General features: G+C 44.9%; 1 protein-coding gene across 6 annotated transcripts in view, besides 3 other annotated features; it reads right to left on the bottom strand.

Moving 5' to 3' along the window:
• The window catches only part of FAM124A (family with sequence similarity 124 member A), a 61,842-nt gene that overhangs the window by 25,983 nt on the left and 18,554 nt on the right, over positions 1-17,305 (bottom strand). For 2 of the 6 annotated variants that reach the window (NM_001242312.2, XM_047430136.1), the window contains exon 3: positions 6,056-6,789. In NM_001242312.2, the coding sequence (NP_001229241.1) occupies positions 6,056-6,789 (734 nt within the window). Of the gene's footprint in view, positions 1-1,111; positions 1,173-4,642; positions 6,790-12,837; positions 12,946-17,305 lie in introns of those variants that run through there. The other 4 variants (XM_011534978.3, NM_145019.4, XM_017020419.3 and 1 more) reach the window with 4 other exon arrangements.
• Positions 2,370-2,664: a silencer, noted in NCBI's record as "tiled region #8165; K562 Repressive non-DNase unmatched - State 22:ReprW". NCBI's record gives its function as "represses a minimal TATA promoter and a strong SV40 promoter by Sharpr-MPRA in K562 cells {active_cell/tissue: K562}" and the evidence as "EXISTENCE:reporter gene assay evidence [ECO:0000049][PMID:27701403]".
• Positions 13,927-14,515: an enhancer, noted in NCBI's record as "OCT4-NANOG-H3K27ac-H3K4me1 hESC enhancer chr13:51817878-51818466 (GRCh37/hg19 assembly coordinates)". NCBI's record gives its function as "activates a minimal SCP1, AML or CMV promoter by ChIP-STARR-seq in naive and primed H9 embryonic stem cells {active_cell/tissue: H9 hESC(naive and primed)}" and the evidence as "EXISTENCE:reporter gene assay evidence [ECO:0000049][PMID:30033119]".
• Positions 14,516-15,105: an enhancer, noted in NCBI's record as "OCT4-NANOG-H3K27ac-H3K4me1 hESC enhancer chr13:51817288-51817877 (GRCh37/hg19 assembly coordinates)". NCBI's record gives its function as "activates a minimal SCP1, AML or CMV promoter by ChIP-STARR-seq in naive H9 embryonic stem cells {active_cell/tissue: H9 hESC(naive)}" and the evidence as "EXISTENCE:reporter gene assay evidence [ECO:0000049][PMID:30033119]".

The raw sequence follows: 17,305 nt of genomic DNA, 5'->3' as shown, positions 1-17,305 counted from the left end.
TTGTTGGAGATGGAATGAGCTTAATTAGGATGAGGTCATGCTGGAGAAAGGTGAGCCCCTAATACAATAGAACTGGTGTCCTTACATAAAGGGAAAATTTGGAGATGACACACACAGGGAGAATGCCATATGAACGTGAAAACAGAGACCAAGCTGGTGCTTCCACACACCAAGGAAGGCCAAGAAGGCCAGTGCAACAGCAGGCTGGGGAGAGGAATGGAACAGATTCTTCCTCACAACCTTTGGAGGAACCAACCCTGCTGATGCCTTGATTTTGGACTTCTAGCCTCCAGAACTCTGAAACAATAAATTTATGTTGTTTAAGCCACCCAGTTTGTGGTACTATGTTAAAACCAAGACAAAAACTTAGAAAAGTGATTAAGTGTGTGAGAAGAAAAACCAGAGCGCTGAGGATTGGGGAACGGGAACTACTCTAGGTGGGGAAGGCAGAGAAGGCCCCTCTGAAACTTGGATGATGGGAAGGAAATCATGGAGGAGATCATTCCAGGTAGAGAGAACAGCAGGTTTAAAGGTCCTGAGGCAGAAATGAGTTTGCTGCATCTGAGGAACAGAAAACAGGCCAATGTAGGAGAAGGAGAGTGAGCAAGAGGGAAGGGAAATGAGAGATAAATAAAGCCAGAGAGCCGTAGGCCTTGGTGAAGATCTGGAAGGGACTGGAAGGGCCATGGGAAGCCCTTGGAAACTCTGAATCTTGAAAGAGACATGATCTGATGCATGTTTTATGATGACGCACATAAGCACACGCACACAAATGGTCTAGATCTGGAGTGTACAGGGTGAAGATAAAACAAGGCCCATCTAAGTGTCTGCTCCACTCTTTCCAACCACTGTCACTTTCTGCACCTCCTAGTGGAGAATACCATGTGCTTCACCTTAGGAAGAGCAGGCCTTTCTCTGCTTCCCTAAAAAGCAAGTCTCTGCCTTGTGCACTCTTGCTGGGAATGTGAAATGACACAGCTGCTATGGAGAACAGTGTGGTGGTTCCTTTCCTCAAAAAATTACACACAATTACTGTACAATCCAGCAATTCCACTTCTGGGTATACATGCAAAAGAACTGAAAGCAGGATATTGAAGAGGCATTTACATACCCACGTTCATAGCGGTGTTATTCACAGTAGCCAAGAGGTGGAGGCAACTCAGGGGTCCATCCTGAATGGACATGAAAAATCTATCATATTCCTGCAATGGAATATTATTCAGCCTTAAAGGAAAGGACGTTCTGACACATTCTACAACATGGATGAACCTTGAGGACATTATGCCAAGTGAAATAAGCCAATAACAGAAAGACAAATACTATATGATCCCACTTATATGAGGTACTTATAGTAGTCAAACTCACAGAAACAGATAGTAGAATGGAGGTTGCCAGGGCCTCGGGGAGGAGGGATGGGAAGTGATCAGTGGGTACAGACTTTCAGTTTGGCAGGATGAAAAAGTTACAGAGATGGATGGTGGTGATGGTTGCACAATAATGTGAATGGATAAAACCACTGAACTGTAGGCTTACAATGGCTAAAATGGTAAATTTTATGTGTATTTTACCACAATTAACAATTACAAAATAAGTCTCTGGAGCCCACATCAGTCCCTCATCACATCCCCAGTGGCATCTGTCTCTCTGTCCTCACAAAACCAGTGTCCCCAGTATTCCAGCAATGATGGCCCAGTCAATCTCCTTGCTGCATGCAGAAGATAAGCAATACTAGCTGGTGTGGATGAGATCTGAAAAGTTCTCTGGTGGTAACAGTCCCAGGCCTCTCTGCCTGGCAACTCATTTCAACTGGTAATAATTCTCTATGTCAGGTTTTCCTGCCTTTTAAGCCTTATTTAAAACCGTTAGTTGCAGCTCTTTTCTCTTTCTACCTTCTAAGGACCCAAGGGATAGTGGTGAGCGTCTTCCACAGAAGAACTTTTCCACAGACTTGGAGACCATTGTTAAATTATCTTGCCACTCTGAAGACATGGAACTACCTGCTCTCACAATTTTCCAGCCTAAAAGTACAGCCACAATCTCATTGTGGAATTGAGCTTTGGGTCCTTGGACTGTGCTTCTGTCTGTTGTTTTAGGGGACCCCAAGTCACTTCTTAAGGAGAAGGCCTTGCTCACAGCACTCCTGTAGCAGGCCTCCAAAAGAGGCAGGCGGCCTTCCATTCAGGCCTGTGTTCCTACCAGGCTGCTTGGGGCTCCCTGAGAAAGGAACAGTGCACAACCCCACATGGCCGAGTTGCAGGACACATGAGCCTGTCCTTTACCTATCACATAGAGAATAGGCTCCAGGAACCTGGCTGGGAATAAAAAAGGCAAATTCACTGACACTCACTAGCTACTGAAAGCCTGGCTGAGAGAAACAAATTGTGGGAGAGTATCTGAAGGTGCATTCTTCCCTCTGAGATTAAGCAAAGCCACCAGGAGGTATGAGTGGGGGCTATTCTGTTTGCCCAGCCTCCCCCTGTGCAGCAGCTTTTCTGAACTACATCTGGCTGGGCATACCTGGCCTCACTGCAGCCATCAGTTAAGAAAGCCTTGTGAGTCCCCTGCTGTGTTATTGGAGAGGTGCGGCTGAGCACAGGCTGTTGACACCACTGAGCATGTGAGATGCTGGGGGGACTTTGCTTCCAGGACTCTGAACTGGGACTATATGTGCATCTAAAGCATAGCTGATTTTTCCTGTGTGAACTCTGAATCACATCATTGATGATTTTCCATTTTGCTTTTGCTGCTACAAGAACTCAAAGTCAACTTTGGGGCTCATTTCTGGAACAGTGCTGGCTGATAGAACTTTCTGCGATAAGGAAAATTTTGCAGTGGTGCTATCCAGTACAGTAGCCACTAGCCACATGTGTCTAGTGCCAGTGAGGAATGAAATTTAAATTTAAATTTTAATGGCGACATTAACTATGTAGCTAGTGGCTGCCATTGAACAGTATAGCTCTAGAAAGTTGACATGCATTTTGGATGTCACACTTGGTTTATCTAATTTTTCTATCAATATTTGCCTTCTACTTGAAATCCCTTTGTTCTAATTGTCATCACTAATCTTCTTTCATGGTATATGTCTTTGCTAGCCATCTTAAGTATAGTTTTTTAAATGTGAGATCCACTTATAAATATTAAAAAAAGGATAACATAGCCATATGCCCAATTTTTTTGGACTAGAAATTTCTTCTCTCTCCCCCTTTCATGTAATATAGAGTAATTAAGATGTTCATTTAAGTGGAGGGAGTCCCAGGGCGGGGGAGGAAGAATCTTTTCTTTGGTTTCTGTCTCTGTTCTGTTTTTTCATCTGTGTGCTGCTTATACAAATGTTAAATTTGTGAAAATTCACTGAGCTGTATATTTACAATGTGAACTTTTTGGTATATACATAATTAATAATATTCTTTAATAGAAAGTAAACAAAAACGTATAAGGAGAACCTACTGTGTTCAAAGTAGAATGTCAGTTTAGTTCTATGGGGGATCCGGAAAGATTCATAAAGCAATCCTTGACTCCACAAAGCCATAGTTTAGTATCATCAGGCATCAGTGCAAATTTCTACAAAATTCTTCCAGGGGTCACCAGGAAGAACTGGGAACATGTTTGCTGACAGTGAAATGAACCAATGGGAAGAGTCTTTCATGCCCCCTCTGCATTTTCCAGAGGAATCTTCAACAACACCTGATGCTAGTAACTCCCCACCTACCTCCCTGCCCTACCCCCATGAATCAGGCAATGCCAAGAATGAAGGGAAGATACATTTTAGGAGGAGGACAGCTTTCTTTCCATTTTATCTGATCTCAGTAAAAAACATTTCCAAATTCTTACAAGGGGTGAGTAGATCCCAGAAAAAAAAAGTTTCAACTTTTCTTCTCTGGAGGAATTAAAATGGGAGGAGGAAGTCCCCAAAATATGGAATGTTAAGTCAGTGGTGTAAGATGAGGAAATAAATGCAATCTTTCTGAACAAAAAACTGTATTTTAAACAAGCAACTAAAAACTACCCAATCAAGATTTTCTTCAATATATAGCTCCATTCAACTAAACAAAAAAATTTATCTTAAACATTACAGTTCAAAATGGCACTCAGGGAACGTACACTGCTAAAGAGAATGTGGATAGAAAGGTTCACTCTCAACTGCTCCTCCCCCCAAGACCTAACTACCTTAATTTTGCTGAAGACTGAAATACAAATTTTTGCTTTGGAAAGTAACTTACAGAGATGGGCAGGTGTGGACCTCATGCTAGCTATCTGCACTGATGCAGCTGAACAGGAACCTGCTTGACATTACCAAGAATCTTGGGGGGAGAGGTAATGCATCCTTTCTGCCCACATTAATTTAATTCCTCAACATATTACTATTTGAACAAGGGCCTGCATGCCTGAGTCCCAAGATACAAATCTTTTTTCTACTCTTTCACACTCTGTTGTTCTAACTTCAAAAGCCTGCACCTGTATAGAGTTTATAGCCATTTAAATATGTGGATCTTCCTTGAAATATTCTTTCCATGGTGCCTTTGAGCAGAGCCCAGGCCAAGCTTTCACACTGCATTCTGTTATTTATCTTATTAGAAGGATCAGGAGAAAAAAGTGCTCTAATTACTGCAAAAAGGAAGAAGTCACCTCAGAAACAGTCACATTCTTTTTGGTCTTTTAGTATAAACAATATCCTTTGCATTTCATTAACTTTTACTTGGTGCAACTGTATTATATTTTGCATAAAGATGTGGCATTCTTCAAACACAGAGACAATTTTTCTCACATTTCAAAAGGGATTATAGAGCAAATGCTAGCATATTGAATAATAAAACATTACTTAGTTCCTTATCTGCACAGTTCAAAAGGAAGTTTCAAAATTATCTAGTTCCTATAAATAGTAAGTATCTCAAGGTGACCTTTCTGACGAGAAATGAGGCCTGGCTGTAGTCTGAACCAGTTATCTGACATGTGCCAAATTCTGACTTCATTTCATGATATGTGGATTATAGTTCTGGTGCTTAAAGCCAAAACCAACAAAAACGATGAAACTTTACCTGTGATTCAAGTAACCACAATCTTTGCCTCTTAAGGCAATGTCCCCCAATTCACTATCAACTTTCTCTTTTCGGGTAGCCAAGTGTGAAAATTGAGACGTCAGAGGTAGAGGCTTTTCAGAAAAACAAGGCCCTATACTCCTGGAACTAATTTACTTGTAAAATCAAGAAAGCCTGGGTCTGGAAAGCATTTCTCAGGTAGGACCAGATGTAGGATGTTCTGTAATATACATGCTGAATTTTGAATTGAGTATAACTAATTATCTCTAATGAGTCTGGGACAACCCCTGGAAGGATGAGAGGAGAAAGGGAGCTGATGATGAAGCTAAAGAGTTTACCATGGAAGGACTAGGGCAGCCTACTTAAAATGAATTCCTTCACCCCTTCCAAGCTTAGTGAAACCAGAAGCTCCCAAGGCATCACTTACTCCTTAAAATGTTTAACGGGACATCCTTTTCCAAGTGATCACAGGATTTCAACAACCTGCTGCCCAGCAGTAGAAGGATGCAAGAGTAGAAGGTGGGGGAGGCACCTGAAGGAAGAGAACAGCTATCTCCTCTATGAACATCAATATATATTTTAAAATTTCCAGATAGATGGGCTTTCCTGAAGTTCCTTTGTGGGAGGGAAGAATCCAGTGGTAAAAACTCTCTAAGTACATGGGCATAGATTCAGGAATCTTTAATAGCAAATTCCCTAGCTTATAAGCTCATTTGAAATCCCCAGGAGTCATGGGTGTTTAGTGGATGCCCAATAGGGGAGGACAGAAGGGGCAGCTGGAAGAATTGGGAACATGTTTGCTGAAAGTGAAATGAAGAGAACCAATGGGAAGAGTCTTTCTTGCCCCCTCTTTTGTTGGGATCCTGTATGGCCACTTTGACTTCGACTAGGAGCTGGGCAGAGGGTCACTGATCTCTCCTTCCTTGATCATTGCTCTGTGACTGGTACTATAGTGTTTGAGGCAAAGCTAACTGGTTTCTCAGGTCCCCTAAACAGACAGACAGGCGTCCCCCCAGTACCTGTAGGAGGATCTTGTTCCCATCATGGTCCTCCGTCTGCCAGCGCCCCTCGCTGATGGGGCTGCAAGGGTTGGGCAGGAGAGGCACGAGCTCGCCTATGTCCCTCACTCGGAACTCCAGCACGGAGGAGTCGGTGGGCACCGGGCACTGGTCACAGGGCAGTCTTTTCAGGGAGAACTGGATGTCCACATCCAGGTTGGAAAAAATAGGGAAGATGCAGAAGTCCGCTTTCTTCTGGCTGGGGCTCCTCCGGAGAATCAGCTGGTAGAACCTGAGGCTGTCAGCATAGTTGTCGTAGCGACAGTAGACGGTGAAGCGCACGATTTCCTTGCCGTAGTGCACGGGCCGGATGGCCCAAAGCGGCGTCCCAGGGGCCAGCGTGAAGAAGTCCTGGCTGCAGGGCAGGTAGGGCAGGAACCGGCCGTGCACCTGCTCGGTGTGGTGGTGGCGCCAGGGCGGCTGCTGCAGTGTGCGGTGCAGCTGCAGGATCTGCTCTTCGCCGTACTCCTCCTGCAGGAACAGCACCACAGCCAGCGCTGGCTGAGCGCCCTTGGGGGGCTTCCGCCGCCGCCGGGACGCCCGCCTCTCGGACACCCGGAACAGCGGGAGGTCGGGGTGGATCCACGCCAGGACGTTGTCGATGGCCTCCTGCAGGGGCTGGGACTCCCCTGGGTCTGCGATTATGTGGATGCTGACCAGGAAAGGGTCCTGCGCCTCTTCAACGGAAAGCTCACCTGGGGGCACGCAAAAAACGAATGGATGAATGAATACAATTATGATTATTTCATTAAAGTGTCCAGTGATGACGTGTACAGGCTTGACAGGAAGAGAAGTCAAATTCTAACTGAACTGACTCCATGACCTGTGATTTTCTGATCCCAAGTTTACCTATAAAAACTACTATGCCAGCACCTTAGCAGCCAAAGAGGAAAGGGCTGTTGCTACGTGAATAGTTTCTAAGCTGGACAGGGTGAGGAGAACCTTGGTCCTGTATTTCATCAGGTTGGTTGGTATAGGGAACATTTGACTTTATATTTACGTATCAGACAAATAGAAAGTCAAGTCTAGTGACTTGGAAGGAACAACAGGCCCATTAGAAAAGATGGCATAGCATCTTGTGGACACCATTTAGTATTTCCTGAAATAGCTGCAGGGCCTTGCCCCATACATGTTCCCTACACAAACGCACTCCTCTGGTTTGCTTATTTCATTTGTTTATTTTGTTAACACACACTCATGGGCTCCTTCCTACCTGCCTCACAGGGAGTGAGGCACAAGGCGAATGATGGAGGACAAGAGAGACCTGTGCTTGCCCCCTGGGGCTTACTCTATAGACAGGTCATGCCCTGGCTGTTGATGAGTCCTGCCCACAGTGTCCCCTATTGTGGGGTCCTGGCCAAGATCATGTTGCTGCTGGAGACACAGGGAAGGATGACCCCCAGAGCCAAGCACAGTGTTCTTGCTGTTGGAGCTTACTGGGGCTGAGGTTAGGGTGGAAGGAAAGCAGGGTGAGACCATGACTGCCCATGAAAGGCTACCTTTTGTGTCCCTTGCTGGGCCACATCCACTCAGAAGCCCACACAACTTGAATGGGTCGGTTACCCTCCCTGTGATCTCTGGCGGAACACCTGAAACTGTTGAATTCCAAGCATGAAGTTGACTGTTTAACTTGGCAACAGTTTCCCATGGGGTGACAGTTTTTTGGCCACACTTGGCATATTTCTAAATCATATAACTATACCTGATAAAAGGCTTGCTCTTTTAAAAGATGGTTCTATTTGCATTTATAGAAGTTTTAGGTCTCATTTAAGGGAATTGAGACATCTTTAGGCCAATTGTGATTTAGGGGGCTAGATTCACCTAGAATCTAGATCTGCCTTTACAAAACACATGCCTCACAGTGTCCACTAGGGGTGTCAGGCATACAGTGATCATGTGGTCAATTGTGTTCTATCAATGTGGTGTGCTTTTCAGAATCATAACCTTGATCAAGTCACAGGATGAAAATTTTTTTATGGTAGGTAGACATTCCAAGTGGGCTTACAAGTCCATTTCACCATGTACAGCTGCAATAACATGGTTTTAATTTAATCAGATCAAAACCCGTCTGAATTTTCTTCCCAACCCTATTAAGTGTCTCACTTGAAAACAGTCCAGCTTGCTGTCTTCTCTCTTATTCATGCATTCATTTGCACATCTGTTAAGCAATCAGTTTGTACCAGGCACTGGGGACACAAAGAAGCTGGCACTAATTATGTATGCCCAAGCACTATGGGAGTACATTTACGTATACTCTTGCATGATATGCTCCCTGAGAACTGTGCAGTGCACAACCTGCACAACCATAGGCAGCAGCCCTCTGAAGACCCATAAGCCCATAAGATGAGAACTTTGTGACTGAGTGGGGAAACACAAACATCAAAAAGTAAAATTAAATCTGATATATGCCTAAAAGGAATACAACGGAATAGTAACTTGGGGTGGGGGCTAGATTCTAAAGTCACTGTGAAGCAAAGGTTATCTATAGACACGATTAACACTGAAAGTCTCCTAAATTTCCAATAAAGTACTAACTTGTAACAAGACAAGATGGCCAGATAGATGTTTCTTTAGTTGAACACCACATAAAATAACCATTTTGCTGCAGGGCCATGTATAAGAGAATAGTCTGTTTCTTTAAACACTGAACCCTTACTCATCAAACCCTGCCCTTCACTCTACAAGAGGCTTTTGGGAACCTGAGAGGCTTCTGGAAGTTAAGGATGACTAAGGTAAGAGCGGAGTCAAGTTTCAGCTTTCCACATTCATGGAGTAGAATGGCAAGTGGAATCCTTTAAATTGTCTTCCCTCTTTTTCCTTCCTGCTGGCTGAGCATGTATTCTCAAATTTGTATGAGTTAAATATGAGCATAGAGCAATTCCAACTTACTACATATGACAAAAGAAGGAGGGCTCTGCAGAAGGCTTCCTGGAGGAGGCACCAAATGAACTGGGTCTTGAAGGGTAAAGGCAGAACACATCCTCTTGCTCATGATGCCCTCAAATGCTGAGGAGATTAGGAAGTGTTTACGAAGGTATAGAACTGTGCAAAAAACAAGCACATTTGGAAGGGGGCCGTGGGGAATTCTGGGACATGGCAACAGATGCAGCTGGAAAAATGGATTAGAACCAAGCTGTATGGGGCCTCAGCTCAATTCAGTAGTTGATAAGGGGCAAAGGAAGGTTTTATGAAGGGGTATCAGGATCAAGTTGGGGGAAAGTTGGCTATAGGCAAAATAAGGAGTTAGAAGACTAGTGAAGAGTCCAGACAGGAGATGACAAGGACTTGGCAGAGTAGGAGATTATGTTAGTGGCTTCAGTTCCTTATCCTATTATGTATCCTTACTTTCTGCCATGTGACTGTGTAGCTCCTCCCACTAAATGGGTGGCGTATTTCCCCACCCTTTGATTTAGGATGAGACTATATGCCTAGCTTTGGGCAGGAGAAAGAGACAGCAGTGGCATGTGTTTTGGCTTGCCTCCCTGTGCTCCCAACATTTCCATAAGAACATACTTGGGGGAGCCCACCGGTCCCAGTAAGGGGATGAGACACATGGAACAGACCCACTCTAGCTGAGCCTGCCCTAGATCAGCCAAACTTCACACCCAAAGACGCAGGGCAAGAGCCACTCAGGTGAGCATGGTCTAGATCAGCTGATCCAAGACAAATGGGAAATAATAATGATGGTTGTTTCAAGCCTGAAACTGAGACTGGAGGTGGCTGTTACCCAGCAGTACTTACAGATCCAGGACAGTCAGTCAAGTGGGTAAATAGAAGAGGCATGGATTCACAGGCTATAAAGATGCAAATGGCAGGCCAGGAAGCCCACAGGCCTGGTGGGTGGGGTGTAGGAAAAGTTGGAGAGGAGTATATACCCTGATGTTTCCAGCTTGAACAAGTGATCTGATGTGATGTTTAACTGAAATAGGAAATAGAGGAAGAAGGGCAGATTTGTGGGAAAAGACAGAAAGTTCCACCTTGACCACTTGGCTTGAGATGCCCAAATGACTTCCAGGAGAGATGTCCTTTGGCAACTGGATCTTTGTGTTGCTTAGGTGAAGGGCTGAATTTAAGGATGGGCCAGTTACTTTCAGATCATATTCTCATTTGTATGCAGTTATCTGATAAGCGTGTGCCCCCATATAGACCTGAATCATGAAAATTCATCATGATGGCTAGGAACACAATCAGAATTCAGAGATAATTCTGGCCCTTTTCTTTGCTTGCCCTTTCTGCCTGCCTGGCTTCTTTCGGTTTGGTTGAACATTCATGACACGATCGGCAGAAGTACAGTTGACGCAAAAGTAGTAAAGCTGCGATGAAATTTTCTGCCAGTGAGTAACTCCAGTAAAAGTAGGAGAAAATACCACATCATCTAAATGGATTTCACTTTTCTCTGGTGCCTTGAACTCCCAACAGTGGAGACATGCGACTTTGCTAAGCATCAGTGAATGCTCCATGTAAATGGAAAAGGACAGAAAGGCTTTGAACGAGGGGTCAAGAATTTTACCTGAAAAAAATGACAGATGATTTTAATGAGGGGGGAAAAACACCATGCGAAGTAAAGGAAAGTCTGGGAAAAGAAGCTGCCTGGGCCACCAGGAAGTCCCTTCAAGGTCCTAATCCCACCCCCAGGTGTGCATGTGGCCAGGTACACAGGGTGACATGTTAGCTAACATGGGTGCTTTCTCCATGTTCTACATGTATGAACTCATTTAATCCTTACAACCACCATAGAAAGGGGAGGTGCTATGATTGTCCCCATTTTAGAAACCAGGAAATTGAGGCACAGGAGGTGAAGTAGCCTGCCAAGGTCACACAGAGTATGAGCACTAGCTCCAGTATCCGAGTTCCGTGTGCACCATCAGCCCAGGCTCTGCAGAGAAGTGTGCTCGCCTCTCCACTGTATCCCTTTCACAGCAGAGTGGCCAGCTGCCATTCTCCATCCATGTGTGGCCACGGCAGCTCCCGCCTGGCCCCTCTGCACGGCTCTCCCACCTCATTCTGACTGGCTTCATTCCCAGCCACCAGCCAACAGCTTCATTTCTTGGACACCCACTTACATTTCTTTCCTCTGGCCCCAGGTCTTGGAGGAAGAATAAGCTAGAAACTGCCCTCCCTGTTGGCACATGCCCAGGTCTTCACATCTCAGCAGTGCCCTCGAGGGCAACTCAAACAGGCCAGCACCACAGGTGGGTGCACAAGTGAAAGGAATGCATAACAGTCACCCAAGAAAGCCTATAGCATGGCGTGAGAGGCTTGGGTGTGAAGAGGCCCGGGAGAAGGTGGCTTCTGAGACTCTCCAGTGGAGCTGTCAGGGCGCTCAGCCCTGTGCCATCTCTATCAGTTACACAAAGGTTTCCCTGAGAGCAGTAACAAAGACCATGCTGAAGTCTGCATGGATGAGTGAATGTTTACAGCTCTGCAGAAGGGCGAAATGCCCGGCCTCAGAGCAGGGGGGTGAGCTGAAAGGCATTCCACCAAGTACCAGCTCGCCTGGCAGTTTGGGAGGCAGCCAAGAGCAGGCGAGCCAGGATGACGAAGACCCGACCCCCAGAGCCCCCTCTGCACTGCCTGAACCAGGGACATGTAAGTGGCTAAGACCCTGCCCCAGAAGAGCTAAGGAGAATGAGCAGTGGCATTAGCATGCTCTGGCCATCACTAGCACGTACCCGCTGCACATGACCTGAAAACACAAGCAAAGAACACAGAACGCAGCTTCAAGCTGTCATCAGGTGTTAGAGTTACACCCCCCCCCACCCCACGAGAAACATGCCTCTGTGGAGCTGGATAGGAAACCAAGCATTTGAGGGGAAGGACAGAAAATGTGAATAATTAATTGCCACGAAAAGTCTCTATGCCTCCCTGGAGAAACACAGACGACATGACTGTGGGATGTGCTCTGCCTTTATCATATCTATTACATGTCTTCTCAAAGGACCTAGCGAGCACCTGTTGAATTATGGTAAAACACAGACCAGAACCAAACAGAGCAGTGGCACAGACTGCCCCAAGGCTGGTGGGAGGATGGGAGCTGCTAGCACACCATTAACAAGGCTTTCAAATTAGTTTGTGTTTTCCTAAGGAGAAGGGAGATTCTTTTTCATTTGATTATAGACAATTAGGCTTTCCTTTGATAACACAAAATGAAAACAGTGTTAAAGAAAGCAGTGTACAAGCTCAGGCCTTCTATGATGCAGAAAGTGTACTATTAGCCTGGGCATTTGTTATATATATATTTTTTCCAACATTTTACCTCTCCTGTGTATCCTGTTTCTGGCCATTTAAATTTAACAGAAAATTAATTTAGACAATAGCAACCATTTATTATGCTCTTATTATTTGCCAGACATTGTCCTACAAGCTTTATGTATACTATCTCATTTAATCTTTCATTTAAAGCAACACTATGATAGATGAACTACTAACTGACCTGCTCAAGACCATTTGCCTGGAGAACAGCAAGGGCTGTCTGAACCCCGGATCTGTGCTCCTCACCACTATGTCCTCTCACTACTCAAGGGCACAATCCTCGTGATACAGGAGATGGAAAGAAATTATTTAGGCACATAGTGAGTATAAAAGAGCCCTTAGCAGAATTTTGCTTTTAACAAAAAAGCAGCCCCCAAATCATTTCTTTTCTAACAAAGAGCAGTCTGAAAATTCGAGCTGTAGATGTAGATAAGCAAGCTGGAAGCTTGCACAGATGAATGCCGGAAGCTGCGCCAATAGAAAAGGGCTACCTGAGGGCCAGGTATGTTCAACCTGGAGGCTCCATCTTCCCTTTTCTTTGTCACCGTGTGTACAGTAAAGGAACAGGCAACATGGCATCCGCCAGGTGGAGAATCCATCTGCATAATAAAAGATTAAAGTGGGGGGCGGCCAGATTTTCACATGCTGTGCAAATGGCACACCTAGTCCTAACCAGTTTTTTGCATCTTATGCAAATGGCACACCTGGTCCGACCAATCTTTTGTGCCCTATGTAAATCAGACACCACCTCCTCAAGCTCATCTACACAACCCTAAGTATTTTGTGGCAGACCAGACACCTGCTTGGGAGCCCTCTCTCTGCAGGAGATAGCCTTTCTCTTTCTTTCGCTTATTAAAGCTCTGCTCTTAATCTCACTCCTTGTGTGTCCACATCCTTGATTTCCTTGGCAGAAGACAACAAACCTCGGGTATTATCCCAGATGAACGATGCCACTTCACTTGGAATCATCGCGTTGGTTTTTCTGCCCCAAATTGGCTGGGGCTCTGAAATCATGGCTTAGCTCCTTCACCCACCTTAGGTGGGAGAGCCTGCTGTGAATGGGCTGGCTGTTTCGCCTGGGTGGGCATCCTCAGCTGGAGTCTTCGGAAGAAGAGGGCAGTCTGCCTGTTGACAGACTTCCGGGTGCTGGACCTACCTCAATGCTGCTTGCGCCAGGGCCCCTCACAACCACTCTCTGCAGTCTTGGGCTTTAGATCAGCCATGCCTGCACTGCTTGCCCGGTGCCTGCCAGACTAGCCCTCCTCCCAGAACTGGCCAACTGGTGTGTCCCCAGAGCACCCCCTCCCCAGCAGTGGGCATGTCTAGTTGAAGAGATCTCTCATTCCAAAAGAACTTCCTGGACAAGTCTCAGGATATGACAAGCTCAGGTACCCCTTTCTAGAATTTTTGGGCAACGATTAATATGATTGTCACTTTAGACACAATTTGTCACTGACAATTTGCAATTTAGTTTCATCATTTATTTAATCAAAGAATGTTTACTGAACACCCACCATGTGCCAGGCACTAGAGGATACAGTGGTGAATAAAACAGTCTCTGCCTTCAGAGAGCTTATAATCTAGTGAGGGAGACAGACAATAAACAAATATATAAGATGTAAGCCGGGTAGCTAAGTCCTACAGACAGACACTTCACTGAACACACACATGCTCAACGTGGTTTCCAAGGCAGTGGCTGTAACAATTTACCATTGACGGAATAAACTGCTGTGCGCCATTCCAGTGCCAAAATTACTGCCAACACTGCAGTGCCCAGTAATCCCCGACGAGGCCAACAGACTGTGAAGGAGGGCACCTCCAGCTGTTGCAGGTTGTTTGGTTTAGGAATCTGGCCCTGGAGCCTGGCTTGAGAGCTGCATAAGGTTGAATAAACACTTATTTGCATTTCTAAAGCCCCCATCAACGGCACTGAGTGGCTTGGGGGCTGGGATACTGGTCTGCCAACCAGACCCACATGATCCAGTGGCAGAAAACTCAGGTGAGACGGTGCGTCACACACACAACAAAGACATGTCCAGGGCACCGGCTGACACTGTGAATAAAGACCAGATCTGGGCTGGGCGTGGTGGCTGAAGCCTGTAATCCCAGCATTTTCGGAGATCGAGGCAGGTGGATCACCTGAGGTTAGGAGTTCAAGACCAGCCTGGGCAACATGGTGAAACCCCGTCTCTACTAAAAATACAAAAAAATTAGCCGGGTGTGGTGGCGGGCGCCTGTAGTCCCAGATACTTGGGAGGCTGAGTCAGGAGAATCACTTGAACCCTGGAGGTAGTGGTTGCAGTAAGCTGAGATCACACCATTGCACCCCAGCCTGGGCAATAAGGGCAAAACTCTGTCTCAAAACAAACAAACAAACAAAAAAAACCAACAACCAGGTCTGAAAGCAGGAGGGAAAAAGGCTCTGGGTGACGCTGAACACAAAACTTGCAGAGGGCTAGCCTCCCCACATTGAGGCATTCCCCAGAACGCCAGAAACAAATGCCTTCAGAAAGGGGCCTCCAAATTCCTTCCTGGGAGACGCTATTCATCCGGAATGTAATGAATAACCTGCCTTCATCTCTTTTTTTCATAGTTTTAGAAGCCAGTTCTTTGAAACTTTGAACTAATGAAAAATGTGTAAGCAACTCCCTTACTCCACCAATATTTAAGACAAAATCTCAGACTTTGTTCTTGGTAATTTTGTAATTTTGACAAGGCCTGTTGGCCTGCAATTTTGGGCTGTGAAAGTGGCGAGACTGGTTGCAGTGCTGGAAATAATGACCTGTGGTGGCAGTGAAGTGACATATAGGATTTTTAACATGGAGATCCAAACTGCATTTATAATATAGATCATAAGGTTCTTCCTCAGCCTGATTTCACAGAAGTGTCCTGTAATTGAAGAACTGAACCTAGGCTGAAATGATTAAGCTAAAACTTATATTTTCATTTGGCAGAGGAGTACAATAAAGGATCTTTCTGGTCTATAGGCCCTCTCACGCTTTTATAAGAAGGGTGGCTTTGCTATAACAGTTATTCGACCGCCCTCTCATTTTTTTTATGATTTGCTGGAGGAACAATGTCAGCGATGTGGATGTCTAATTCATATTCCTGAGCTCATTCTAAAACCAGGACACTATTAAGAAAAAAATATATAGAAAGTAAGGCAGATACTTTAGATACCCTGCCGGTTTTTTTTTCCACTTGGAAATGGGACATCCATCTTACTTTAAATGTATTTCTAAGCTTCATTCAGGTCCATCATTCTGAAACATACTCTCCTGATAGGAAAAGGAGGGGGAGCAAAAGCCGGACACCAACCAAAGGAATGACAGACACTTTAAATCCTGATACAGCTTGACAGAGATTCTGGGAGAAGACCAGAAGGTTGATATGTAATTAGTTTGAGGAGGTATAACTGCAGCTAGAAACACTTAAACATATCTAGCATACGTGTGTAAGTCCCTGGGACTGCAAGGACTTTGAAAGTTTATGAGAAGTAATGCAGGCCTGACACCCAGCAATGTACCATGCTTAATGATGTACTAAGACTCCTCTTGCATAAAAATTTGACGGTTCAAAATGCCTGAAGAGGCTATAGCATTCTACACAGAGTCCTTTCTTCTACTCAGTAATTTTAATTCTCTCTAAACCACATTATGTGCTTGTCATTTGCATTTGCAGCAAAGTCATCCTGAGAAAGTCAGGATCTCAACAAATACTGGAGATCCAGAGATGACAGAGCAGGGCTTGGAAACAAGAGGAACAGAATTAATATTAATCTTGTATTAGGAAATGAAAGAAATCTACCAAAAAGAACAAAACAAAAAAGACAAAAGAGGAAGATGTTAGCCTAAGCCTATCCCAAGGATTTGTTCATCAGGAAACTCCAGGCCTCTGTCTTACACTAGAGCTCGTGGGAGGAATCCTTACAATTATATTAGTCAAGATTTATCTTAAAAAGGGACTTATTCTGGCAGGATATTGAGAAATCAGATGAATAATGATTAGCCGTTGCAACTCTTCTAAGAAAAGCCACTGCATATGTGCTTATAAAACACGTCCTGAACGCAGTAGATGCAGCAGTGACGAAATCCAGCACTGGCTTTGCTCATGATCAAACGAGCAATGTAGGAAGTGGATGGAGCCTGGGGACTCATTTTTTTTTTTTTGGCCTAAAATTCAGTGGAATATTCAAATATTTTGAAAATTTTAATATAACACTGACAAGTCTCCGGTACTTGTTTCTAAGTCTCCTTAGAAAATGTGTACTTTGGGCCCATTTGGAGAACAAACTTACTGGACATGACTAGAAAATTAAGGATGGGTAAGACAGTCAGTCCAGCCCCCTCATTTTACAGTTGGGGTCAGGCCACTTGTCAATGGTGGGTCTAGAAAGAGAACAAACATCTCCCAACTCCCAGTTCAGGGCTTTCTCCTTTATACCTCAGTGGCACCTAGTCCTGAAGTGCCTGCCCCAAGGACTCCAAGTAAGAGGAGACATAGCTTGTCCTTGCCTTTGTGCAGCTTAAAATCTAACTGAGAAGCCAAGACCTTCACACGTGACAAATGTAACAAAAATACAAATGGGAGATGATACATTCTAAATGACGCAGAGAATGGGATGCAGAAATAATAACCAAGTTTCCCTTTCCCACAGTTTTCTTAATCGCCTTGGGGCCCTCCACCTACAGAGTCCTGGCTGTTCACTGCTTCAGGGAGGATGGCAGCAGATAAACTTAGTAATTGAATTTCTGAAAATTTTGTTTTAACTCATAACAGAGGAAATGGTCTTGAAGGGCAAGGCTCTCTGTTGCAAGAGCTGGGCTTTTGGAGACAGAAAAGGCTTTCTGAGCCAGGAAAGGCTAAAAACCTAGAGCAGAGGGTTCACACTGTGAACCAGAAGGCAGAAGAACATGTGGGGCTGCAAGGGCAGCTTTTCCAGCTCAGATGCCAAGTTTG

Source organism: Homo sapiens, chromosome 13 (genome assembly GCF_000001405.40).
Source record: "Homo sapiens chromosome 13, GRCh38.p14 Primary Assembly".
NCBI classification, from domain to species: domain Eukaryota; kingdom Metazoa; phylum Chordata; class Mammalia; order Primates; family Hominidae; genus Homo; species Homo sapiens.
Note: the sequence above shows the minus strand (reverse complement) of the source record. Positions and strands in the feature narration are given on the sequence as shown.